This window comes from Homo sapiens, chromosome 9 (genome assembly GCF_000001405.40).
Source record: "Homo sapiens chromosome 9, GRCh38.p14 Primary Assembly".
NCBI lineage: Eukaryota > Metazoa > Chordata > Mammalia > Primates > Hominidae > Homo > Homo sapiens.
The window spans coordinates 26,921,730-26,948,011 of NC_000009.12; the positions used below are offsets into that span (position 1 = coordinate 26,921,730).

Genomic DNA, 26,282 nt, shown 5'->3' on the forward strand with positions numbered 1-26,282 from the left:
GGTATCAGATACTAGTCATATGGAAAATAATGGTTCAATAACTTACGCAGATCTTCTGCATATTCATACAGTTTATTATTCAATATTAAAAAATGGCATTTGTTAATGTTATTACCACTAGTATCAATACAAATGGGAAGCTACTAAGTTCCTGGTGGAGATACATTTTTCCTACATTTCAATTTTCACTCAAACACTTGAATTTTATCTTTGGCAACATATATTATCAGTTATTTTCCTTGACGGAACATGCTCAATTTGTTCATTTTCAAAAAACGTCTGCCAAATACCAAAGCCTGAATAACCGTAGTCATTCTTTCAAATAAAAATAGCACTCCATGAAAAAACTGGTAGTTTAGCCTGCAACTCAAATGACTGCGCATGTTCTTTTCTTTGAGACACCACAGTATTTTGACTTACTTTATGTCTACTTTAGGTTTTCTCACCCGGAATATTTAAAAAGATGTGTCAAAATGTAATAAAACTGATAATTCTTAATATTAATACCTCATCAAGGACATGCTTAATGGCAAACTGTTTTTTTTTGTTTTTATTGTTTTTTTTTTTTAAACTACAACTGCATGCAAGTAGAACATAGTAACTTACCAGAATGGTTTAAAGCCCCTGGCTTGATTTACATACTAGTGAACCAGTGGTTTTACCCACCATTGTTTTTGCACCATAAGTGCAAACATTAATACAATGTACAACATTCAAATAATATCTAGTATTACAAAAATTAGTTTTGACCTCATGGACATCCTGAAAGGATCTCAGAATCCCCAGAGGTCCATGAATCAAGCTTTGAGAAGCACTGGTATAATAATGCAATCAAGAGATACATCCAACCCAAGATTTCATTTGAGATGACTACGGTCTTCTGATTTCAAACTCGAATGATTCCCAACTCATTACACAGACAATGCTTGATTTTAACTCATTTTTTTTTTTTTTTGAGACAGAGTCACACTCTGTCACCCAGGCTGGAATGCAATGGTGTGGTGTCGGCTCACCGCAGCCTCAACCTTCTGGGCTCAAACCATCCTCCCACCTCAGCCTCCTGAGTAGCTGGGACTACAAGCGCATGCCATCACACCTGGCTAATTTCGTATTTAAACTCATTTTAATATTCAGTTTGTAACCCCTCTCAGAGAATCCAATCAACCAAAAAGTATTAAATGAGTGCCTTTTGAGTGTCTACTGTAAATGATCTAAGTGTTGGGAGATTTATTTTTTAATTCCTGTTTATGAGAAGCTTAATTCAAAGTCTTCTGTGAGACAGAGGCAAGAACATGGTTTCTCATAGTGATTATATGTAATAGTAAAAATCCTCAAAAATCAGCATCTAGCAATGAAAAACACAAGCAAAACAACATTTATTTTTCTTCTAATTGTTCCAAAAGCCAAATATGGTGAATTTTTTCTACTAGGTACAATAAAATACTTACCAGGTTCATTAAGATGTTCCCTCCCAGGAAGCTGCTCAGCATTGATGTCCCCTAAATCGCCAGTTTTAGAATCAATGGTTGCGTGAGACAGTTCTTTTTCAAAAGCCTTGATTTCTTCAGCACTTGCTGTTCGATCTTCTGATTCTGTAAACACTCTAATAATGCCATCACTGTAAGGAAAAATAAACTGATTTTAGAAGTCATTGCCATAATACATTAACATTATCACACCTGAATGATCCATAGTAAAAATAATCTGTGTTTGTGAATATGAGAAATATTAGCATGTTATTAATTGCTGATTACAGCACTGTGCTGACTTCAGCACATGCTACTCTATTATGTCAACTATTTAATAGAGAAGTTATTGACAAAGAACAGAGAAACATGTATTTTATACAATTTCCAAGTTAAATATTTACCATCATAAGAATCTAGAGCTATAGTATGTACTTTTAAAGTCAATATTTTTTAGTTATTACCATATAGAGAAGGGTAGTGGGCTAGTTTAGTTTATAAAGGGCTCAAAGACCCAATGTAGGGCTTAAAATTAGCAGATGTTCAGTAGACAAATATGGTCATCCTTTACTATGCCAGTAACTAGCAATGTAACTTCAATCAAGGAAAAAAAATGGCCTAATGTTTGGATTAGATGGCCGTCCTTAACCTCTTTTCTCAGAAAAATTACTTTATCTCCATGATTTCTTAATTCGAAATTCTGAGATAGGAGAAGCAAATTAGACACTTCCAACTGTATTAATCCTGGCCCATTCTACAGGAAACCTGTTTCTAACTTATTCGTCCACAAACATGTACATCACTCGTTCTATTGGTTTTTCTTCATATGCTTAGGAGGGAAAAAAACTAAGCCTATAAATCAGCCTCTGTCCCAGCCAAAAAATAAAACACCCACTTTATTAGACCCTCTATCCCTTATAGCTGTCACCTTCTTTTTCTTCTCTTTTTCTTTGAGACAGGGTCCAACTCTGTCACCTAGGCTGGAGTGCAGGGGCGGCAATCACAGCTCACTGCAACCTCAAATTCCCGGGCCCAAGCAATCCTCCCACCTCAGTCTCCTGAGCAGCTGGGACTACAAATGCATGCCACCATGCCCAGCTAATTAAATATTTTTTTTGTATGGAGACAGGGTCTCGGTAGCTCACCCAGGATAGTCTCGAACTCCTGAGCTCAAGCGATCCTCCCACCTGGACCTACCAAAGTGCTGGGATTACAAGTGTGAGCCACAGCAGCTGGCCTTCTTATTGCTTTCAATGCTAGAGTAGCATTATAGAGTAGTCTATGATCCTTCGTCCATCTCCTCCAACCCTTTATTTCCTCTTATTTGCCTTTTTTTCTATCATTTTCTATTCAAAATGTGATTGATGCCAAAAGTCACTAATAACATCTTTCAAACCAAATCCAAATGCTTTTCAAACTTTCCATTCTTTGACTCCTCAAACACTTTTGACACTGATGACAATCTCCCTCCAAAATCTCTCCTTTTCTGTCTCCCAGAAATTTCAACATTTGAATTCCTTTGTTCTGTTTAACCTACTAACTTCTTTTTCTCTACTAATGGTATATCATAAAACTTAGTTCTTAGTCTTCTGTTCCTCCCCTGTATTTCTTCCCTCAGAGAATGGTGTTCTATGCTTTGCTTTTGGAAGCTTTGCGAAATCTTTATCTTAGCCTCAGTTCTTATACTAAGCTCCAGTTCAAATGACCATGATCCACTGGCATGAGTGTGGCTCACCACCACTGCAGACCTCAGGAAGTCTAAGGCCACGGTCATCACCTTCTGTACCCAACCAATTCTCCCACTTCTCCATTTTTATTAATGAAGATTTCCAATCACTAACAGTTTGAAGCTTTATCCTTTTCTTTCATACTTTTTCTGATTGTTTTCCTTCTGGATTATCTCATTTACTTATTTCCTACCCATTAGCATTGTGGGGCCAATGTCTTATAACTTCACACTCCTTCTGTACTTGCTTTCTAATTTACTTTCCTGTCCATTGTCACCAGCAGTTAAATCCAATCTACATATTTAGTAATTCATAAGTTCTGCTTCAATCCTATTTCTTGCTCAAGAACTACAACCCTTCAACCCCAGGCAATGAATCTAAAAAATGCCTGGCATGAAAGCACTAAAGGTTCTCCACAGTTAAGCCCCATTGTACCTATTATCTCAGCATTAGTACTCCACCATTTTCCTTCACTTCCTATGCATGCTGCATTCATTCTCATGAAGGAAACTTATACTCTTAGCTTTGACAAAAATTTGCGTATCTTTTCTCACTCATAATCTTTCAAAATCCAGTTCAAATTTCTTCTTCTACAGAAAGTTTTCCCACACCAATCTCTACCTTCTCTAACTTCTTTTGTAGTCAATATCTTGACTGCACAATTGCAGTACAATACTGGTATATCATGCATCATTGACTGCACAATTGCAGTACAATACTGGTATATCATGCATCCCTTAGTATGAAAGCTATAATATCTACTACTGTTTTGTTTAGTAATTGAAGTGTCCATATAGTCTCCTCAAGTCACGTGAAATTCCTTATGGCTTATCTCTGTACACTCTAGTTCCTACTGAAGGCCTAGACATATAACATTTAATGATTGACTAGAATATAAATACCTCGCACCAACCACAATGTCACCATTGTCGAGCACACAGCAGCACCATATAGACTGAGCTGGAAGTCGGATAGTTTGAGCACATTCCCCATGTTTCCAGATTCTCAGAGATCTGTCCTCTGCTGTTGTCACAAAGTCTAAAATTAATGAATATAGGAAGTATTAGTTTGAATAAAATTAAGTACATTTATACATACCATCTTTCTAGATACACTGACTTTTTGAAACCCAGAGACTTTCAAAATTACAGTTTTAAATTTCATATGTTTGTCACTTACAACATATACAACTTCAAAATCACATTTTTTATTCATGTCACATCTTACAAAGTGTTTCTTCAGATACCCAAGAACTTTTTACAGCACAACATAAATCTGAATTAATATAAAGATGGCCATACAATTTTCTTCTTTGTAAACAGGAGAAAGATACTTAATGAAATAAATTTACTAAATTATTCAAGTCATAGATAGTAAATTAAGTAATCAGCTCTCCTCCCTCCATCTCACAAATGGGATGGAATAATGCTCAATACAAAACATTAAATAAATAGCATAAAATAATCTTACCTCTACAATTTGGAAAAACGGATATGCTATAAATATAATTTGTATGTCCATAATATACTTCAAGACACTCGCCAGTGATTTGCCACCTTCTAATACTAGCATCATTTGCACAGGAAAGAAATTCTGTTTCACTCAAAATTGCCAAACCTCTTACACAGTCTTCATGCCCTGCATTAAAAAACAATAATGCAAATCAATAAAACTGATAATTTGGCTGATGGCTCTATACATTTTACTAACATTATAAAACATATCAGTGAGTAGTAAAAATTAATTTTCAAGTTAGAGAAATCTTTTTTTTTGTTGAAAGCCTGATAACCAAAATTTGTATTTAAGGTTTAGCAATATTTTTTTATCACCAGTCTTCAGAAGTTATTTTACATTCATCCTACCTTCTCCAAAAACCTCCAGAAATAGTATTTTGACCCCAATAATTTGTTTTCACCTGAAAATTCATTTTTAATTTTTCTTCCCCAACAAGAGTAATTTATAAAATATATAATATTCAAATATAAAAGAAATATATAACAAAGAGTAGCCCATAAATTTAAGAACAAAACATTCTCTGAAGCTTGTGAAGTCAGATTTCCTATGTTCAGTATCTGTTGACTTAAGAGTAGCTATCACAGATTAATAATGACTTGATACATATATATAGACTATATACTGAAGCAGAAACAGAAGGATGTTTAGTCATCATCCACTTTCCATCAAAAGATACTTTTTTTGTTTTTCTTTTTTTTTTTGAGATGGAGTCTCACTTTGTGGCCCAAGCTGGAGTGCACTGGCACTACCTCTGCTCACTGCAACCTGTGCCTCCAGGGTTCAAGAGATTCTTGTGCCTCAGCCTCCCGAATAGCTGGGATTACAGGTGTGCATCACCACTCCTGGCGAATTTTTTTGTATTTCTAATAGAGACAGGGTTTCACCATGTTGGCCAGGCTGATCTCGAACTCATGGCCCCAAGTGATCCACCCACCTCAGCCTCCCGAAAGGCTGGGATTACAGTTGTGAGTCACTGCACCCAGCCAAAAGATACTTTTATCTGTACAAAGGGACTTCTTGCATATTATCTAGGGTAGTTACCAACTTTTAAGGAAAAAATTCAAAAAGGAAAAACAACACCAATTAAAATTAACAGTAAATACTTAAGTACCCTACAAATAAATCAATGATATTACTATTAGATAGCAGATGCATCAGTATTGGCATTATTTAATAGCTGGGGTTTAAAAAGAATACTCACCATAAACCACAACATAAACAAAGCTTGAAATTCGTTATAAACAATGTGCTTCAATATAAAGACACTAATAATGATTTCTTCCATATATGAAGATAACACTGCTGACTGACCATCAGTAAGGCTTATGTTTAGAAGTTTCAGGCTAAAAGTATTAAAATGACAACCAAAAATATAACTATATACCAAAAATTACATACATATATGCAGAAGCACATATGCATATTATATATAGCTTATCAGACAGCTATTTATCAGTCTACATTTGGCTGTTTTATGAGAGGTTTCATTATCTTTTTAAATGTATTAGATATTAACTCATCAGAAAAATTACATTAACTCAAATTAATAGCTTAAATATACTAATGTTTTTCAAATATTTTCATGCTTGTAAACTTCTGAGAAAAAAAATCTGAGCAAATAAAAAGCAATGATATTATAAAACTTGTCTACCCTGATCTTACCTGAAAAAGTCCTCTCACATCTTCCAGCCTTCCACAGTTTAACAGTCTTGTCTGCTGATCCAGTCAACATTAAGCCCTGTTCAGGTAAGATCTTTACCGCCCACACTGCAGCTGTATGACCCTGTGAGTAAAATGAGTATCAATTTAAGTTGCCACAGAATCATTCAACTTAATTATTCTTTAGAATATTTACACAGAACTACTGTACCTGCAAGGTCATCATGCACTTGTCATTCAGCCAGACTTTAGCAGTGGTGTCCCATGAACCACTAAGTAATGTCCCAAATTTTCCAGATGATAGACTACAAACTAAGGAAAAAACATCATTGGATAACACATTTTCATACAGAAAAATGCTCAACATTGAAAGTTACTAAAGCATTCCAATTTTAAAAACACTCTTTGAAGTGGCAGTATCTTAGCTAACTAAGGCTCAATTCAGCAGAGACGCATAAGAGTACAGTGGTCAAGAGCAGACTCTGGTGCCAGACTGCCTGGGCGCAAGGCCTAGCTGTGCCACTTACAAGCCACGTAACTGCAGAAATATTACTCAAAATCAGATTCCTTGTCTGTGAAACGAGGGAGCGGAACTTAAGTGAGCTACACAATCCTTCCAGCTTTAACAAATCATAATAGGGAGATAATGTAAATGATTTTGAAACACTGTTTATATAAATATTTAAGGCTGCTTTCATGACAGTGACCATAAAACCTGCAGCCAAGCTCAATGTCCAAAAGTAATGAAGTGGTTAATTAAATGTCTTACTTTCTTGATGTGAAATTATGCAGGCTAAAAATTACAAATATGAAAAATTATGCCAGGCACAGTGGCTCACACCTGTAATCCCTGCACTTTGGGAGGCCAAGGCAGGCGGATTGCTTGAGCTCAGGAGTTAGAGACCGGCCTGGGCAATGTGGAGAGACCTCATCTCTACTAAAAATACAAAAAAATAGCTGGGTGTGGCGGTATGCGCCTGTGTTCCCAGCTACTTGGAAGGCTGAGGTGGGAGGATTGCTTGAGCCCAGGGCACAGAGGTTGCAGTGAGCTGTGATCATATACCACTGCACTTCACGCCTGGGTGACACAGCAAGATTCTGTCTTTAAAAAAAAAGAAAGAAAAGAAAAATTAGCCAGGTGGAGTGGCTCATGCCTGTAATCCTAGCATTTTGAACTGAGCTCAGGAGTTTGAGACCAGCCTGGGGCAATATAGTGAGACTCCAGCTCTAAAACAAAAATTTTAAATTAGTCAGACATGGTGTCACGCGCCTGTCGTCCCAGTAAGAGAATTGCTTGAGCATGGGAGGCCAAGGCTGCAGTGAGCTGTGAGAGCAGCACTGCATTCTGGTATGACCAAGAAAGTGAGACCCTCTCTCAAAAGATAAAAGAAAAAAAAAGAAAAATTATCTTAGGAAAGAAGAGTATCATTGGCGGTCGAAGCACAGCCATAAAGAACCTTGGATTGGGAAACCTTTTTCCTAGACCAGAAGGAAGCAATCACAAAAGTCTCTCTACCCTGAGCTGAGGATCCTTGAGACAGCTACTTATTTGGATTTCAGAATGGCTCTAGATCAAAAACTGTTGTCTTGCACTGCTTCCTCTTCTGAATGAGTGTTTGCTCTGATTATCCTATTCCTTTTCCATAATTGTATATTGGGTATGGTTGACAGCTTACTTATAAGCATCACCTCTCTGATGTTTAGAATACTTAGCATCACTCAGAGGAGACTTTTGGATTGTTTGATGAAGCTGAATCGTTGATGACCAGAAAGCATGCTGTGGTAACTCTCCCTTTTTGGACACATGGGAGAATGGTACTTTCCTCCTCCATTTGAAGTTAGGCATAGCCATGATACTTGCATTAGTCACCAGACAAAACGGTAGCTGACACTTTCAGTCACACACATGTTTTTGGTGTTTTTTTAAAATTGATTTTTTTAATTCTCTACTACTGTGACATTCAAGGAAGGCACATGCTTTTAAAAGCCAGTGCCTTATTATTATTATTATTTTTTTTTTTTTTTTGAGACAGAGTCTCGCTCTGTCGCCCAGGCTGGAGTGCAGCTGTGTGATCTCGGCTCACCGCAAGCTCTGCCTCCCGGGTTCACGCCATTCTCCTGCCTCAGCCTCCCGAGTGGCTGGGACCACAGGCGCCCGCCACCACGCCCAGCTAATTTTTTTGTATTTTAGTAGAGATGGGGTTTCACCGTGTTAGCTAGGATGGTCTCGATCTCCTGACCTTATGATCCGCCCGCCTTGGCCTCCCAAGTGCTGGGATTACAGGCATGAGCCACTTCGCCCAGCCAACCAGTGCCTTATTAACCATGTTGCCCTTTGACTGCTCCAACAACTACTGAAGCATGTGTGGAGAGAAAGCCCCATTAGCCTGGGTCCCTGAGAAAATCTGATGAACAGAGTCCCTTTATTAATCCATGTTGAACATGTAGGGTTAATGAGAAATACTCATATGTTACATCACTGAGATTTTTTTTTTTTTTTTTGAGATGGGAGTTTTGCTCTTGTTGCCCAGGCTGGAGTGCAATGGTGCAATCTTGGCTCACTGCAACCTCCGCTTCCGAGGCACAAGTGATTCTCCTGCCTCAACCTCCCACGTAGCTTGGATTACATGCATGCGCCACCATGCCCGGCTAATTTTTTTGTATTTAGTAGAGACAGGGTTTCACCATGTCAGTCAGGCTGGTCGTGAACTCCTGACTTCAAGTGATCCACCCACCTCGGCCTCCCAAAGTGCTGGGATTACAGGCATGCACCACCATGCCCAGTCTGAGATCTTAATAGTTGTAACTTGGGTGCTCTTTACATTCTTCCACAAATCAGTATGATATAATTGGATAAAATACCATTTCCCAGTAAAAGAAAAAAAAAAACAGGACTTCTTGGCAAAAGTGCTGGTTTGAGGTCTAGAGCAAGAAGTGTACAAACTGAACCTAGAACATTCTGTAATAAAGCAAGGAAGACTACTGAAGGTCTTATAAAAAGGTGACAGGAGCCAATTTAAAGAGGTTTCCAATGGCCAGATATGGAACAATTTGAGAACTGAAAAAAAAAAAAAAAATTCAGGAAACAACTCCTTCTGCAAACCAGTAAATAAATTGGGAGAAGGGTCAAGGAAAGCATTTATTCTGTCTTTTCTGTATAGAAGTCCCACATGGTAACCAGTTGATGTGGAAAGATCTATACAGAAAAGTCTTGGCGATCAAATGCAGAAATAATATTAGAATTACAGTACAATCATTTTGTAAACCTTAATAAAATATTGAATCTAGGCAATGATTATCAGTAGCTGCTAAAAATTACCATTATGTGAAAGGCTGATGGGAACTTTATAATGAAAGAAAGATACAACACTTGAACCCACTGATCAATCTTAATATCACAAAAAGATATTGTGTGCTTCCTGATGTGATACAATAGAAAATACAGAATACCACCTATACTGTTGCCAAAAACTTGAATCTGAACCTGATAAAGCTACTAGATCTATTTAACAGCTTACAAGAAATATAGGTGACTGAAGAACACATTAAAGGAAACAAGGCTTTAACCAGTAAAACTGAGATTGTGGGAAATTCTACAGCTAAAATAATCTGGTTTTAAGCAACAAGAAAAAAAGAAAGAAACTGACAGATTGAAAGATGTAGGGCTGGGCACGGTGGCTCATGCCTGTAATCCCACCACTTTGGAAGGCCGAGGCAGGCAGATCACCAGAGTTTAGGAGTTATAGACCAGCCTGGACAACATGGATCACCAGAGGTCAGGAGTTTGAGACCAGCCTGGACAACATGGTGAAACCCCATCTCTACTAAAACTACAAAAAACTTAGCTGGGCGTGGTGGTGGGCACCTGTAATCCCAGCTACTTGGGAGGCAGAGGCAGGAGAATCACTTGAATCCAGGAGGCAGAGGTTACAGTGAGCTGAAGATTGCACCACTGCACTCCAGGCTGGGCAAAAGAGTGAGACTCCATCTCCAAAACAAACAAACAAAACAAACAAACAAACAAAACAGATGTGGACCTTATTTGGGTCAGAATTCAAATGAACTGTAAAAAAAGATTTATGAGACAACTGGGTAAATTTGAACATTCACTGGATGTTTTTGTTTTGTTTTGTTTTGTTTTAGGTGTGATAACAATATTGTGGTTATTCTTTTGAGGACGTGAGTGTCCTTATCTTTTAGAAGGGTCAACAAACTAATGCTGGTGAGCCACCTGTATTTGTATACCTAACAAACTAAGAATGTTTTTTACGTATTGAAGTAATTGAGAGAAAAACAATCAAAGGCAATCTTCTAACGTGAAAATTATATGAAATTCAAATTTCAGTGTTCACAAATGAAGATTTATTGAAACACAGACATGCTCATTCATTTATTTACTGTCTATAGCTGCTGTGCACTACAACTGCAGAGTTGAGCAGTTATGAGAGCAACCATATGGCCTGAAAAGCAGAAAATTTATTTACTATCTGATCCTTTACAGAAAAAGTTTGCCAACCCCTGTTTTAGAGCCACATAATGAAGGATGTATTTATAAATGAAACAGCAGAATATCAGAAATTTTAAAATGATGTAGTGGAAGGAGGGGGGAAGATGAAACAAAAATAAGATATCTCTACTTCTGTGTACATTTGATTTCTATATAAAATTTTAAAAATCTGTATCCCTCTGTATTGAAGACTTCTCACACAAACACACATACAGGCACACAAACATTTAAAAAATTCTTTCTGTTTTTGGTCGGGCACAGTGGCTCATGCCTATAAACCCAGAACTTTGGGAGACTGAGGCGGGTGGATCACCTGAGGTCAAGAGTTCGAGACCAGCCTGGCCAACATGGTGAAATCCCATCCCTACTAAAAACACAAAAATGGGCCAGGCACGGTGGCTCAGGCCTGTAATCCCAGCACTTTGGGAAGTCAAGTTGGGCAGATCACAAGGTCAAGAGATCGACACCATCCTGGCCAACATGGTAAAACCCTGTCTCTACTAAAAATACAAAAATTAGCTGGGTGTGGTGGCGCGCGCCTGTAGTCCCAGATACTCAGAAGGCTGAGGCAGGAGAACTGCTTGAACCCGGGAGGCAGACGTTGCAGTGAGCCAAGATCACGCCACTGCACTCCAGCCTGGTGAAAGAGCAAGACTCTGTCTAAAAAAAAAAAAACCATAAAAAAGCTGCGCATGGTGGTGGGCACCTGTAATCCCAGCTACTCTGGAGGCTGAGGCAGGAGAATCGCTTCAACCCGGGAGGCAGTCCTGGCAGAGGCTATAGTGAGCCGAGATCACAAGATCACACCACTGCACTCCAGCCTGGTGACAGACCGAGACTCCGTCTCAAAATAAATTAAAATTAAAATTAAAAAATAATTTAAAATAAAAAATTATTTTTGTTGGCCAGGCGCAGTGGCTCACGCCTGTAATCCCAGCAATATGGAAGGCCGAGGGGGGCAAATCACAAGGTCAGGAGATCGAGATCATCCTGGCTAACATGGTAAAACCCTGTCTCTACTAAAAATACAAAAAAATTAGCCGGGCGTGGTAGCAGGCGCCTGTAGTCCCAGCTACTCGGCAGGCTGAGGCAGGAGAATGGCGTGAGCCCGGGAGGCAGAGCTTGCAGTGAGCCGAGATCACGCCACTGCATTCCAGCCTGGGCGACAGAGCGAGACTCTGCCTCAAAAAAAAAAAAAAAAAAAAAAAAATTTTTTGTTTTTAGAGACAGGGTCTCACTCTATCACCCAGGCTGGAGTGTGGTGGTGTGATCACAGCTCACTGCAGCCTCCAACTCCTGGGCTAAAGCAATTTTCTCACCTCAACTTACTGAGTAGCTGGGACTACAAGCATGCACCACCATGTCCAGCTAATTTTTTAATTTTTTGTAGAGATGGAGTCTTCCTATGTTGCTCAGGCTGGTCTCAAACTCCTTGCCTCTAGCAATCCTCCCGTCTTAGCCTCCCAAAGTGTTGGGATTACACATATGAGCCATGGTGCCTGGCACATTATACAAATTGTTTAAAGGAATTTAAGTGTTTATGAAACATGTTCCAAACTATTTCATTTATATTTTTAAAAAAGTACACTTACTGCACCGATTAAGCATGTCATTCTACAATAAAGAACTGTTAAGCCACACAGAAATCCAGAATTATCACAGAATCAGGAATATACACAAATCACAGAAAATAATATTCAAATATATTAAATACTCCTCAATAATACCAGAGCCCTAAACACACTGCTCTGGGTCTTCAATTAAATACTTTTAGTTTTCTGAATAAATGCATTCATTGCATGAAATAGTTAAAAACCAGACTCATGAAGTATATTCAAATTATATAGCCTCTTTTATTACTGAACACTTTACTTTTTTTTTTTTTTTTTTTTTTTGAGACAGTCTCCACTCTGTCACCCAGGCTGGAGTGCAGTGGCAGGATCTCGGCTCATTGTAACCTCTGCCTGCCAGGTTCTAGCCATTCTCGTGCTTCAGCCTCCTGAGTAGCTGGGATTACTGGTGGGCATCACCACACCTGGATAATTTTTGTATTTTTAGTAGAGGCGGGGTTTTGCAATGTTTTCCAGGCTGGTCCGAACTCCTGGCCTCAAGTGATCTGCCTGTCTCACCCTCCCAAAGTGCTGGGATTACAGGTGTGAGCCACCGCTCCCGGCCAATAACTGAACAGATTACTTTTTACATATATAAGCATATCAACCTTTACTGATCACAACAAATTTGTAACAGAATTTTTACGGAACTAAGATAGCCCAAAAGCGTTTCCATTACCAAACCACAGATATAGGTAAAACAAAATATAATAAAAACTTGAGAAAATGGATATGTAAATTTTACTTTCAAAGGGATAAAACTTCAAATAGAAAAACACCAAAGCATTATTATACTCACCAGTATTTTTGTGGCCTTTTAGAATATAAAGTGGCATTGGACTGTCCAGTGAGAAAATGCATATATTGTGGTCATTTCCACCGGTGGCAATTAGGCCATGAGGGTAGATGTCACTTGAGGGTATGATGCATACACAAGATACAAAATTGGAATGGCCACTCATACAGTGCATTTCTGTAAAGCTCCTGTTTGGACTGGAAAGACAAGATAATTAATAGATACATATTCGTACCCTGACTTAGCCTAGGACATAAACTGTCAAAGCACTCATTTTCATTTAGTGTCTAGACAAACTTTAGAGTATATACTATCTTAAGAATCTATTGTTTTAAAATTGAACCTTACATAATTCATATGAACTACTATAGAGAATTACATGAGATAAAGAGAAGTTTGTTTAGTGTTTCTTTGATAAGAATACGTTAACATAGAGAACAAGGAAAAAAGAAAGGGCAATAAATAATCATGACTGGGTTTTTTCTCAATCTCCATCTTCACTTCTACACATTAGTGACTGTTACCCTAAGAAATCCCTGGTTAAACGAAACATACATGCAATTAAGATAATGAAATTTATTATTAAGAAGACCTAAATATACTGAGGACTTTTTCACATTATGAAGCATTGACTTAGAGCCCAGTAGTATAGTACAGCATGTGTTTCTACATAGCTAGAACAGGGGTGTCAAATCTTTTGCCTTCCCTGGGCCACACTGAAGAAGAAGAATTGTCTTGAGCCACGCATAAAATATACTAACACTAATGATAACTGATAAGCTAAAACAAATAAACAAAAAAACCCCACCTAATACAGAAATATATAAATGGCTAGAGTAATATTATATAATATATAATGTTATATATAATTATATATATCAATGAACACAGTACATTAATAATTGCACTGGGATTAAAATGATTACCAGTTTGTGACATGTATCAATCACTTAGCATCACTGCCTTACTTAACAAGTTCAACCAGCAGATTATGATTTACTATGTGGAAAGCAATAAATTACCTGCTGAGAGGGATAAAAAGAATTATATCCCTGACTCAGCTAAATCAAAGAGTTTGCAGTCTAGTTGAAGAAGATAAGTGTACATAAAGAGGTAAGACTCCCAGATAAAGACTAAACAAACTCATCTATTTTCACTTCCTTCCCAAATTCCACTAAAAACAATAAATACTTATGTTTTTTAATAAAGGCTTAATTAAACCCACAAGGCCAAGGAGAATGAAAAAAAAAATACATGAATACAACTTTGAATATTTAAAGCTTACAGAAAAGTAGTAAGGGCCTTAGGAGACCTGAGTCCTAGCAGGCAGCAGGACAACCGAAGAACCAATTTACCAACAAAGGGCTTAAGAACTAGAGAATATTCTGGGAAGTCGGCAGAGTCGGAAGCACCAGGCATCTGTTTTCCCACCTAGACAACGATGGCACTGGCAGAATCTGTCTGATGTAACTATTATGAAACTTTGCAGTCATTTGAAAGCTTGCAACTTCTAGGGGAAGGCTTGGATTGTAAATTGAGGTTAATTTTGATCAATGCCTGCTCTTGGCACAGTAGCAGTTACCCACACCTCACCCTTCTAGCCCCATGGCAGGCAGTCATGCATCTGTTCCCAGAGAACCTTGCTCACAGCTGTAGGAACTAGGGTTGGCAAAAAGGATCCTGTCCTCCAAATATCAGAGATCTGTTCTCTGATCACTGATTGCTGCTTTGATCACAGAGCAACAACAAAGAGGCAGGCAGCCATTGTTGTTGCACCTCCCCCGGTTGATGCAAGCCTCTACCACTTGAGCTGAAGTGACTTCCAAGAGGATTTAAAAGGCTGATGCCCGGCCGGGCACAGTGGCTCATGCGTGTAATCCTAGCACTTTGGGAGGCCGAGGTGGGTAGATCACCTGAGGTCAGGAGTTGGAGACCAGCCTTGCCAACATGGTGAAACCCCGTCTCTACTAAAAATACAAAAATTAGCTGGGCGTAGTGGCAGGTGCCTGTAATTCCAGCTACTTGGGAGGCCGAGGCAAGAGAATCGCTTGAACCCGGGAGGAGAAGGTTGCAGTGAGCCAAGATTGCGCCATCGCACTCCAGCCTGGGGGGACAACAGCAAGACTTTCTCTCAAAAAAAGAAAAAAAAAGGCTGATGTCCATTCCCCTAACACCTTCATTTTCCTCTTCTGGGAGCAAGATAATAAAGACTAAGATATTCAAAAGGAACTACATATATGGAAAAAATTAGAAAGTGAAAGTGCATGCCCAGGGAAAAGCACAGGCTCAGAAAAGACTGAGAAGACTAAGTTTACATCTTAGCCCGATATTTGAAACAAAGACACCCTTCAACAACAACAACAACAAAAAGATAATACACAAAAACATAACAAAAAACAGCAAACCCTGGAAAAGGGGAAGAATATGATTTCTAGAGTTATATTATTAGATTAAATGTTCACTTTCAACCACAACAAAAAAATCACACGCATACAAATAAACAGAAAAGTATGGCCCATTCAAAGGAAAAATTAAGTCAATAGACACTGTCCCTGAAAAAGACCTGGCAGCAGATCTACTAGACAGAGACTTTAAAACAACTGTTTTAAACATGCTCAAAGAACTAAAGGAAGATGGAGAAAGTCAAGAAAATTATGCATGAAGAAAACTGAAGTATCAGTAAAGAGGCAGAAAACCTATAAAGAAACCAAAAAGAAATTATGAAGATGAAAGGTATGATAACTGAAATGAAATTATTCACTAGACAACTTGAAGACAGATTCAAGCAAGAAGAAATAATTAGCAAACTTGAACATAGGACAGTAGAAATTATCAGGTTTGAAGAACACAAAAAAAGACTGAAAAAAAAAAAAATGAACAGAGCCTAAGGGACTTGTGGAACAACATGAGGTAGGCCAGCATACAGATTGTGGCAGTCCTAGAGAGAGGGGAAAGGGAGCAGAGAGAATATCTGAAGAAATAATGGCTGGAAACATCCCAAATTTGATGAAAGACATGAATATAAACATCCAAAGAAACTCAACAAACTCCAAGAAGATAAATTCAAAGAGACCCACACCAAGTCACATTATATTCAAACTTAAGAAAGGGAGATACAAAGAATCTTGAAAGCAGTAAGAAAGAAGTAACTTATCACATACAAGGGATCCTCAATAATATAATTAGTAGATTTCTCATCAAAAACTTTGGAGGTCAAACTGAGTGCAGTAGCACACACCTGTAGTCCCAGCACCTCAGGAGACTGAGATAGGAGAACCGCTTGAGCCCAGAAGTTGGAGGCTGCAGAGTGCTGCGACCACACTCAAGAACAGCCACTGCATTCCAGCCTGGTCAACATAGCGAAACCCCATCTTGAAAAATTTTTTTGGAGCATTAGCTAGGTGTGATAGTACACACCTGTAGTCCCAGTTACTTGGGAGGCTAAGGCGAGAGGATCCCTTGAGCCTGGGAGTTTGAGACTTAAGTGAGCTATGACTGTACCACTGTATGCCCGCCTGGGCCAAAAGAGTAAGACACCATTTCTTAAAAAAAAAAAAAAAAAAAAAAATGGTGAGGGAGTTTGCTGCCATGAGACCTCCCTGTAAGAAATGCTTAAAGGAGCCTTCTCGCACAGTGAAATGAAAACACACTAGACAGACTTGAAGCAATATGAAGAAATAAAGATCTCAATAATGGTAAATACGATAGTGGTTTATAACTCTACCTTTTGATTTCTATGTCATTTAAGAAACATTACATTAAAAAAATTAGCCTAAAAGCTAATGATATTGTAACTTTGGTTTGTAACTCCAAATTTTTCCTACATAATTTCAGAAATTAAGGCATTTAAAGTAATTATTACTTTATGTTTTTAGGACACAGAGTACATACAGATGTAATTCTGTGACACCAACAACCAAAAGGGGTGAAGATGGAGCTATAAAGAAGAATTTTTGTTTGTTATTGAAGTTAAATGTATACATTCAAATTAGAGGATTACAACTTTAGGATATTAAATATAATCCTCATGGTAAACACACACAAAAATAGAATATACACTAAGGAAATGGGGAAGGAATTTAAACATAAATAAACTAGGCCGGGCGCCGTGGCTCACGCCTGTAATCCCAGCACTTTGGGAGGCTGAGGCCGGCGGATCACAAGGTCAGGAGATCGGGACTATCCTGGCTAACACGGTGAAACCCCATCTCTACTAAAAATACAAAAAATTAGCCAGGTGTGGTGGCAGGGGCCTGTAGTCCCAGCTACTCGGGAGGCTGAGGCAGGAGAATGGCGTGAACCCAAGAGGTGGAGCTTGCAGTGAGCCGAGATTGCGCCACTGCACTCCAGCCTGGGCCACAGACTGAAACTCCGTCTCAAAAAAAGATAAAAATAAAATAAATAAATAAACAAACATATAAATAAATAAATCAACTAAACACAAAAGAAGACAGTAATGCAGGAGATGAGAGACCAAAAAAAAAAAAAAAAAAAACCAAACAAACTTTAAGGCATATAGAAAACAGACAGCAAAATGGCATCGGTGATTACTTTCAATGTAAATGAATTAAATTCTCCAATCAAAAGACAAAGATTGGCAGAAACCATTTTAAAAAACATAATCCAGCTCGGTGCTGTTTATGAGACTCACTTTAGATCCAAAGACACAAATATACTGAAAGTGATAGGATGAAACAGGATATTCCATGAAAACAGCAAACAAAAGAAAGCAGGAGCAGCTATATTAACATTAGACAAAATTGACCTTAAATCAAAAAAAGAAAACAAGAGACAAAGAAGGATATTATATATTAATAAAAAGTTCGGTACAGGAAGAAGATATAACAATTATAAACATTTATGCACATAATATATAAAACAAAAACTGACATAATTGAAGTGATATATAGATAGTTCTACAATAATAGTTGAAGACTTCAATATCTCAATCTCAATAATGGATAGAATAATCAGACAGAAAACATGTAAGGAAAAAGAGGACTTAACAAAATAAATCAACTAGAACTAACAGACATACAGAATATACTACGTGAAAGCAAAGACACCTGCTACAGAAAAAAGTATGGAAATTCCTAGAAAAATTAAAAATAAAATTACCATATGACTCAGCAATTCCATTTCTGGATATATTCCCAATGGAAATGAAAGCAGGATCTTAAAGAGATATGTGTATAACCATATTCATAGTAGCATTATTCACAATAGCTCAAATGTGGCATCAACCTAAGTGTCCATCAATGGATGAATAAACAAAATGTGGTATAAACATGAAATTTTATTCAGCCTTAAAAAGGAGGGAAATTCTGACATATGCTACAACATGGAAGAACCTTGAGGACATTGTGCTAAACGAAATAAGCCAGTTATAAAAACACAAATACTGTATGATCCCACTTATATGTGGAACTTAGAGCTGTCAAAATCATACAGACATAAAGTAGAATCGTGGTTGCCAGGGTCTGGGGGTGGAGACAATGAGTTATTGCTTAAACAGGTACAGTTTCAGTGTAAAGAGATAAAAAGAGTTAAAAGATGGATGGTGGTGATGGTTACACATTATGAATATACTTAATACCATTGAACTGTACAGTTTAAAATGGTTAAGATGGCAAATTTTATGTTTTGTGTATTGTATCACAATAAAAAAACTGGAGGAAAAGAATTAACAGCACTATATACCTCCAGAGGTGAGGACAAAGAGGCAGGAACTAAGATAAGAAAGACTAATCGAAAGTCTTCAGAATCTGAAGCATTATGAAAAAGTCTTCAAAGAAAGATACCTGGTAGTAACCAATTTCAACTTGTTCACTTCATTTTAGGGGGTGTTGTTTTTGTTTTTTAATGCTTTTGAAACCATTTTATCAATAAGCCCAGAGGAAGTCAAAAGATAGAACATGTTTTAAAATCTGTATTATGTAAACCACTAAATCTACCCACTATGTGTAACCCTTAACACTTCAAAGCATAGATGTTTGTGTGCATCTTCGGTAGTGGTCTGTGAAGTTCTTAATGGCAGAATCCAGATTAGGTTCTTTGTGTCTTCCCAAGTCCCTAGCACAATGTTTTAAATGGTTAGCATTAAGTATTTCTTAAACTGATTTTAAAAAATACTTAAGGTATTAAGACAAAAAAAAAAACAAAAACAAAACACGGGGGGTGGGGGAGGGATGTGCAGCTAGACAACCCAGCCAGACAACTGTCCTGCTAGTACTCAGCAAAAGTCTGAAGCTTTTTCTTTAAAAAGAAAATCTTTGAATGGGGGGACATAAGGATAGTTGAGTCTTGGGAGTGTGAAGAATGTGTATATTCCTACTGGAGCCCAAGACCACCAAAAGAAAACCCTGGAAACCATACCCTCATCCTCTAGGCAGCAGATCAGCCCAATATAATGGCCCTACCAGATAACTCAACAGTAAAACTCACAACCAGCAAGCCCCATCCAGGAGCACAGATCTCCCAGGAGCTTCTTAATTCTCTACCCATAACACTGAGCACACAATAAAGATTACCAGACATCTGGGGAAAGCCTCCAGCATGAAATACAGTGATCAAAACAAATAGAGATGAGAAAAAAACCAATATGGAGGAAAACAGACCATTAAGGAGGAAATACCTTAAAACATTTTTTTAAATTGTCATTATCATCCTTAGAGGTATAAGATATTGCAACCATGAAACAAGGACATAATTTCACAAAGTCAAGGCAACCTGCTAGAGATTACAGCCAAGAAAAAAAAAAAAGAGAGAAATTTAGAAAGCAAGTTCAATATCTGAATAAAAACAGTTCCAGAAAAAAGAAGACAGAAAAAATAAAGAGAAAGCAGCCAAAGAATTAATTGAAGAACATTTCCCAGAATTTATGGACATGAGTTTTCATATTAAAAGGGCCCGCCAATGGCCTGGAACAATGGATAGAAGTAGACTGCCTTCCAGAAAGAAAAAAAAAATAGTTCAAAAATCAGAATGGCTTCAGACTTCTCAACAGTAACACTAGAAGATGAAATACAATGGATTCCATCACAATTCTGAAAGAAAATTATTTTAAAATTAGAATGCTACAACCATTCAAATTATCATGCCAGTAACAAGGCAAAATAAAATAACTTTCAGACTTGCAAGGTCTTAAAACATTTATTACTGATGCACTACATTTCAGGAAGCTCTTAGAGGTTATGTTCCAATAAGGCAACAAGGAAGAAAACCAACCAAGAGAAAGCTAAAGGATACTGACAATAAAAATCCAACATATGAGGTTCAAAAAAGTTGTTTTGGAAACAACAATGAAGGGAAATCCTAGGATTAGTTGTGCATCAGAGGTAGACAGACCAGGTCAGAAAGTTTGCATTGTCAGGAGAGGAAATTGTAAAATATCCAATGTATCTAAAGGCCTTAAGAGGTGATTCGGTAACGAACAAAGACTTTGAAATTGACTCAGTGATAAATACATAGTAAGCTAAGCAAATGAAAACCAAAATAAAACAATTATTAGCCACATGCAGATCATAAAATTGTTGAGGAAGAGTTATCATAGATTATTCCACAGCTTAAATTATAAGAGTCAGAGCACGGAGGCCGGGCATGGTGGCTCACGCCTGTAATCCGAGCACTTTGGGAGGCCAAGGCGGGCGGATCACGAGGTCAGGAGATCCAGACCATCCTGGCTAACACTGTGAAACCCCGTCTCTACTAAAAATACAAAAAATTAGCCGGGCGCCGTGGCGGGCGCCTAAAGTCCCAGCTACTCGGGAGGCTAAGGCAGAATGGCGTCAACCCGGGAGGCGGGGCTTGCAGTGAGCCGAGACAGCGCCACTGCACTCCGGCCTGGGCGACAGAGCGAGACTCGTCTCAAAAAAAAAAAAAAAAAAAAAGGCACAGAAAAAGATGCATACGTGATGGGGTGAGTGGAAGGCAGAAAGAGAGCTAAATTCTCATATTCTACAGTAGGAACTAATAGATTACAACTAAAAAATCTATTAATATAGATTAATATAATCAGATCCTATATCTGAAGATGTGTCTTCAAGCATGGGTCGTTTTTCAAAAGGCAAGGCAATATAAAGGCAAAGCTGCTGAAGTCCTATCTCACTCATCTCTCCCCACCCAGAAGTCAACGACAGACTTGGGAAATGTAATTTAGCTTGAAGCTAGCTTATAGAGACCTGAAGTAGTCTGAAACAATGGCATGTTGCTGGCTCAGTTCAATGCCCAACCAACAGATATGTCTCCACTCTGAAGGTCCAAAGACTTTCTGGGTTTTCAAAGGGCTTTTGTGAAAGACTAGGTACCTGGTTTAGTCTACTCTAAAACAGAACTATTTCTGCCTCCCTAGAACTAACTTTCCCCATTATTCCCAGTCCATCCCTACATTTACTACCCTGATCTAGAACCTTAGCAACAACATACATGGAAAGCAGTGGTAAATTCATTTGCATCAGAGGTAGACAGACCAGGTCAGATTCAGTAAGAGGCAATTCAGTAATGAACAAAGAATTTGAAGTTGAATCAGTGGTACTGATTCAAATTTACAGTGGTAAATTTCATTTACCACTTGGCTACATGGGAAAGCAAATTTCATTTACGACTTCACTCCAAACATTTATAGCATTTCATTAACTCTATTAATATGCTGTTATGAGCTGGGAGTGGTGGTTCACACCTTTAATCCCAACACTTTGGAAGGCTGAGGCAGGAGGATTGCTTAAGCCCAGGAGTTTGAGACCAGCCTGGGCAATCTAGTAAGACGCTCATCTCTACAAAAATAAATAAATAAAAATTAGCTGGGCATAGTGGTTCTTGCCTGTAGTCCCAGTTACTTAAGAGGCTGAGGTGGGAGGATTGTTTGAGCCCAGAAGGTCGAGGCTGCAATAAGGCAGTGATCATGCCATTGCATTCCAGCCTGGGCAACAAAGCAAGACCCTGTGTCAAAAAAACAAAATCACACAAATATTCTATTATGGCCTGAACGTGTCCCCCAAAGTTCATGTGCTGGAAACTTAACCTTCAATGCAACCATGTTGAGAAGTAGAACCTTTAAGAGGTGATTAGATCAAGAGGGTTCTGCCGCCATGAATAGATTAATGTCATTATTGCGGGACTGGGTTAGAGAGTGGCTTTGTTACAAAAGCAAGTTTGGCCCCTCTGCGCCTCTTGCTGTGTGCTCTCCTACCCTTCCACCATAGGATGATACAGCAGCAAAGAGGCCCTCTCAAGATGCCGATACCTTGATAATGGACTTCCCAGCATCCAGAACTATGAAAAATACATTTCTTTTCTTTACAAATTACCCAGTCTGTGGTATTCTGCTACAGCAACACAAAAGAGAAGACATGTATCATGAAATAAAAATTGTCAATATGTCAGATTTGAGGACACTTTTACAACATTAAAGGTATGGTTGAGACACTTCAGTTGGCATCAATAAGAGCTTAATCACCTAATGACTATGAAACACTCTAACCCTGGGGTATCCAATCTTTTGACTTTCCTGGGCCACATTGGAAGAAAAATTGTCTTTGGCCACGCATAAAATACACTAATAATTACAATAGCTGATGAGCATTTTTAAAAAAATCACAAAAAAAGCCTCATAATGTTTTAAGAAAGTTTATGAAATTTGTGTTGGGCCACTCTTACAGCCACCCATGGGCCACAGGATGGACAAGCTTGCTAACCTAACCAGCAGGATATGAGAGACTAAATAATCTTATCTCACTACGCACTAACACACACTGTGGCAAAATGCAAGTTCTTCATCAGTGTTAGATAAATACATACAGGAATGAATTTTGAAAAACAAAAACAAAAAAATCATGAGTTCGGCCAGGCGTGGTGGCTCACGCCTGTAATCCCAACACTGGGAGGCCAAGGTGGGCAGATCACCTGAGGTCAGGAGTTCAAGACCAGCCTGACCAACATGGAGAAACCCCATCTCTACTAAAAATACAAAATTAGCCGGGCATGGTGGCACATGCCTGTAATCACAGCTTCTTGGGAGGCTGAGGCAAGAGAATCGCTTGAACCCCGGAGGCGGAGGTTGCAGTGAGCCAAGATTGTGCCATTGCACTCCAGCCTGGGCAACAAGAGCAAAACTCTGTCTCAAAAAAAAAAAATCAATAGTTCAATGAACAACAAAATCACTTTTCAAATAGAGAATCAGTTCAGCCCAAAGTTCTTCAAGTTCCTGGTAAGCACAACCACTCCAGTGATTAAACCCTTGTCAAACTAGTACAGTCCCAAAAGTTTAATGACAGGATTCCATTATTAAAACAGGCATCCTTGATTATACTCCTTACTGCAATGGTTATATTCTACTGGGCTTATGCTTCTACTGGATTCAATTTTAAAGGCAAAAACTTAATAACTGTACTCAAACAAAAAGTTCCATATTAGTATTACTAAGTAGTTTTGGATATTATAGAATTTTAGAGTTAGATCTTTAGAGATCATCTCATTCAATTCAATACAGGAATTTGCTCTATACTATCCCTAGCCTAGTGGACCATCTTGTGTTGATTATACTACTTCAAAAGCCTCCAAGCAAACCCACTTCTACACTTATCCCTTCTCAATCTATTCTCTACCATCAGCTAGCAGAAACTTCTCAACACGGAAATCAGATCATGTTGCTCCCTGCTTGAAACTATTTGAAGGCTTCCATCTGCAAACTCCATAACCTGGCTCTTGCCAGCCTCAAAACCTGCCCTCACCTCACAGCTAATTCCCTCCTGTTTGCTCCTCCAGCTGCCTGGAATGCTCTTCCAATTCAATCCTCCCTATTTGCTCTTCCACGACCAGCTCCATCCATCTCATGCTTCAAATGTCAACTTTAAACAAACAACTCCTCAGAGAGGCTTCCTTTAATATATCTCTCCACCTAATTAACTGTATGTTTTCTTCACATGCCAGTTTTTAATTATTTATTGGCTTGTTTTTTAATCTATCTTCCCCATCAGACTGTAAGAAAGCTCCAGAAACACTGGCAACTTGTCTGTCTTTATTCCTCTCCAGTATCCCAAACAAAGAGGAGGCACTCAACAGTTATCAACTGAATTTATGGATGGTGACTCAAATTCTAAAATCTCTAGCAGTGGGAGACCTACTAAATAACAAAATAACTAACCTCAATTTTTCTTTCTCTGAACTGCAATCTGTCTTCTAGGTCTTAAATATCCTGTTACAACCAGCCAAATCAGGGCTGAACCCGTGAACTCGATCAGGACTGATTCCTAACCTTTTTCTTCTTTTTTTTTTTGGTTCGTGAACCCTTCTGATAAATCCTTTGAAGGCAATGGATGCTGCTTCTCCTCAAGAAACAGCACATGCACAGAAACAAAACATCCGAGAGGTTTCACTCCCTCAGGACCAGCACAGACCACAGACTAAAATTCTAACCTGGACGAAAAGAGGATTCACCAGTGCAATTTTTGAGAACTAAAGTCTTCAAAAATTAAATTTTACAGAAGACTACAGAGCATCTTCTTCGAAAAAAAAAAAAAAAGAGGACATTTCAGATGCCTTCAAACTACCTCACTTCGGAGGGTGCAACTGCAATCAGTAAATTTTCAAGTCTAAAAGAAACTTGGGAGATCATCGTCCAAAAACTGAAGGCCCAAAAGGTAGGAGACTCGTCTGTGGTCAAGTTAGCACAACAAGGCAGGTCTTTGGTCCCCCAACCCTGTGCTCTTTCCACTTAAATCCCGATGGTTTCTTACAGAGTTCTAATAGTCTGAGAATTGGAAGGGAGCGGAGAGCAGAGGGAAGGCTGGGGGGAGAGAGAGACGGCAGGACTGACAGGGAAGGGTCACTCTCCTTCCACTCTCCGGGAAGCGTGCAACACAGCCGGGGCAACCCGACTCCCAGCGCTCACCTGTCTGGGGCCCAGAGGCGGGTGGTGCGGTCTCGGGACACGGACACAAAGGCTCCCGGCGGATAGGCGCAGCACACCAGGCCCCGTACGTCCAGCTCGTGGCCCCGGAGCGAGCAGCTCAGCCGGTACCTGGTTGCGCCGCTCGTCATGGCCAGTGTCTGTCTGGCGCCCGGTGCCCAGGCACTGTGCGAGACCAGTCCGCAGGGGCGACTCGGAGAGCGCCGGGCCGCGGCGGGAGAAGAGCCTGCAGGTAAGGGGCGGCCGGAGACCGGAAGAGCCCGAGAGCCGGTACGGAAGGGCGGCTGGGAAGGGGCGCGCCGAGCGGGCCGAGTGACACAGCAAGCCTGACAGGCACTCCGGAATTCATCATCGGCCTCAGCCCTCCATGACGCAGAGTGTGTGCGTCCCAACCGCCGACGCCGATGCGGAGCTGAGCTGGCTTTCCTCCAGGGCTCTGGACTCCCTGCTGAGCAAGAGAGAAAGAGGCCCGCCCTTCCACCAGGACGCCTGACCCTGGGGTCCTTCCCAAACCCGGGTCTCTTCCGACTCCGGGCCCAACAGTTTGTGGTAAATCGGGAAGCGGGCCGGGACTACAATTCCCATAATGCCGCGCCAGCTGGCGTGGACATCCGGCGCGCCGAATCCGGATATTTTAAACCTGAGTCTTTCGCGCTGGGCATGGCGGAATGGCTGAGTGAGGTTGTTTGGTGTCTACTGTTAGGTCATCCTCACTGCTTTTCCCTGAGAATCTCGAGGTTTTTGCAAGTTAACCTTGTTTTTCAATTAAAACGAGAAAGCTTGAGGCCAAATTGGGAACTATTAATCATTGAACTATTCCTCCGTTTCAAGTTATCTGAATCTCCTACTCTCTGTTGTCAAATTTAGCAAATACGGTGGTCCAAGTCAATTTTTTAAAGGTATAACTACTTTTCTCTGGCGGCTTGTTAAAATGTAGATTCTGATTCAGTAGGTCTGAGTTAGAGCTGAGATACGTATTTTTAACAACCCCGCCGCCCACCCACCCGTGGTGCTACTTGCTAGTCATTATCAGACCTTATTGAGTGCCAGGGTAAACATGACCTGTCTCCTTACTTTGTTTTCTTCCCATCCGCTAT

At 39.3% G+C, this 26,282-nt stretch overlaps 2 protein-coding genes across 7 annotated transcripts in view, besides 7 other annotated features; one reads left to right on the top strand and one right to left on the bottom strand.

Moving 5' to 3' along the window:
- Positions 1–25,513, bottom strand: part of PLAA (phospholipase A2 activating protein) — a 43,871-nt gene extending 18,358 nt beyond the window's left edge. For all 5 annotated transcript variants that reach the window (NM_001321546.2, NM_001031689.3, XM_047424083.1 and 2 more), the window contains exons 1-7: positions 25,168–25,513; positions 13,284–13,477; positions 6,579–6,679; positions 6,371–6,491; positions 4,664–4,831; positions 4,096–4,231; positions 1,449–1,618 (exon numbers count right to left, since the gene is read on the bottom strand). In NM_001321546.2, coding sequence (NP_001308475.1) covers positions 1,449–1,618; positions 4,096–4,231; positions 4,664–4,831; positions 6,371–6,491; positions 6,579–6,679; positions 13,284–13,477; positions 25,168–25,316 — 1,039 coding nt within the window. In that variant the 5' untranslated portion in view covers positions 25,317–25,513. The remainder of the gene's footprint in view (positions 1–1,448; positions 1,619–4,095; positions 4,232–4,663; positions 4,832–6,370; positions 6,492–6,578; positions 6,680–13,283; positions 13,478–25,167) is intronic.
- Positions 14,209–14,409: a silencer, noted in NCBI's record as "peak7213 fragment used in MPRA reporter construct". NCBI's record gives its function as "represses an SCP1 promoter by STARR-seq MPRAs in K562 erythroleukemia cells {active_cell/tissue: K562}" and the evidence as "EXISTENCE:reporter gene assay evidence [ECO:0000049][PMID:32103011]".
- Positions 14,972–15,652: an enhancer, noted in NCBI's record as "OCT4-NANOG-H3K27ac-H3K4me1 hESC enhancer chr9:26936699-26937379 (GRCh37/hg19 assembly coordinates)". NCBI's record gives its function as "activates a minimal SCP1, AML or CMV promoter by ChIP-STARR-seq in primed H9 embryonic stem cells {active_cell/tissue: H9 hESC(primed)}" and the evidence as "EXISTENCE:reporter gene assay evidence [ECO:0000049][PMID:30033119]".
- Positions 24,588–25,263: an enhancer, noted in NCBI's record as "NANOG-H3K27ac-H3K4me1 hESC enhancer chr9:26946315-26946990 (GRCh37/hg19 assembly coordinates)". NCBI's record gives its function as "activates a minimal SCP1, AML or CMV promoter by ChIP-STARR-seq in naive H9 embryonic stem cells {active_cell/tissue: H9 hESC(naive)}" and the evidence as "EXISTENCE:reporter gene assay evidence [ECO:0000049][PMID:30033119]".
- Positions 24,588–25,266: a biological region, named in NCBI's record as "NANOG-H3K27ac-H3K4me1 hESC enhancer GRCh37_chr9:26946315-26946990".
- Positions 25,007–25,266: an enhancer, noted in NCBI's record as "active region_28251". NCBI's record gives its function as "activates an Ori minimal core promoter by ATAC-STARR-seq in GM12878 lymphoblastoid cells {active_cell/tissue: GM12878}" and the evidence as "EXISTENCE:reporter gene assay evidence [ECO:0000049][PMID:35858748]".
- Positions 25,264–25,937: an enhancer, noted in NCBI's record as "NANOG-H3K27ac-H3K4me1 hESC enhancer chr9:26946991-26947664 (GRCh37/hg19 assembly coordinates)". NCBI's record gives its function as "activates a minimal SCP1, AML or CMV promoter by ChIP-STARR-seq in naive H9 embryonic stem cells {active_cell/tissue: H9 hESC(naive)}" and the evidence as "EXISTENCE:reporter gene assay evidence [ECO:0000049][PMID:30033119]".
- Positions 25,381–26,282, top strand: part of IFT74 (intraflagellar transport 74) — a 119,025-nt gene continuing 118,123 nt past the window's right edge. The window contains exon 1 of one of the 2 annotated variants that reach the window (NM_001099223.3): positions 25,381–25,417. The gene's annotated coding sequence lies outside the window, so the exon portion shown is untranslated. Of the gene's footprint in view, positions 25,418–25,570; positions 25,735–26,282 lie in introns of those variants that run through there. The other variant, NM_001099222.3, reaches the window with a different exon arrangement.
- Positions 25,527–25,836: an enhancer, noted in NCBI's record as "active region_28252". NCBI's record gives its function as "activates an Ori minimal core promoter by ATAC-STARR-seq in GM12878 lymphoblastoid cells {active_cell/tissue: GM12878}" and the evidence as "EXISTENCE:reporter gene assay evidence [ECO:0000049][PMID:35858748]".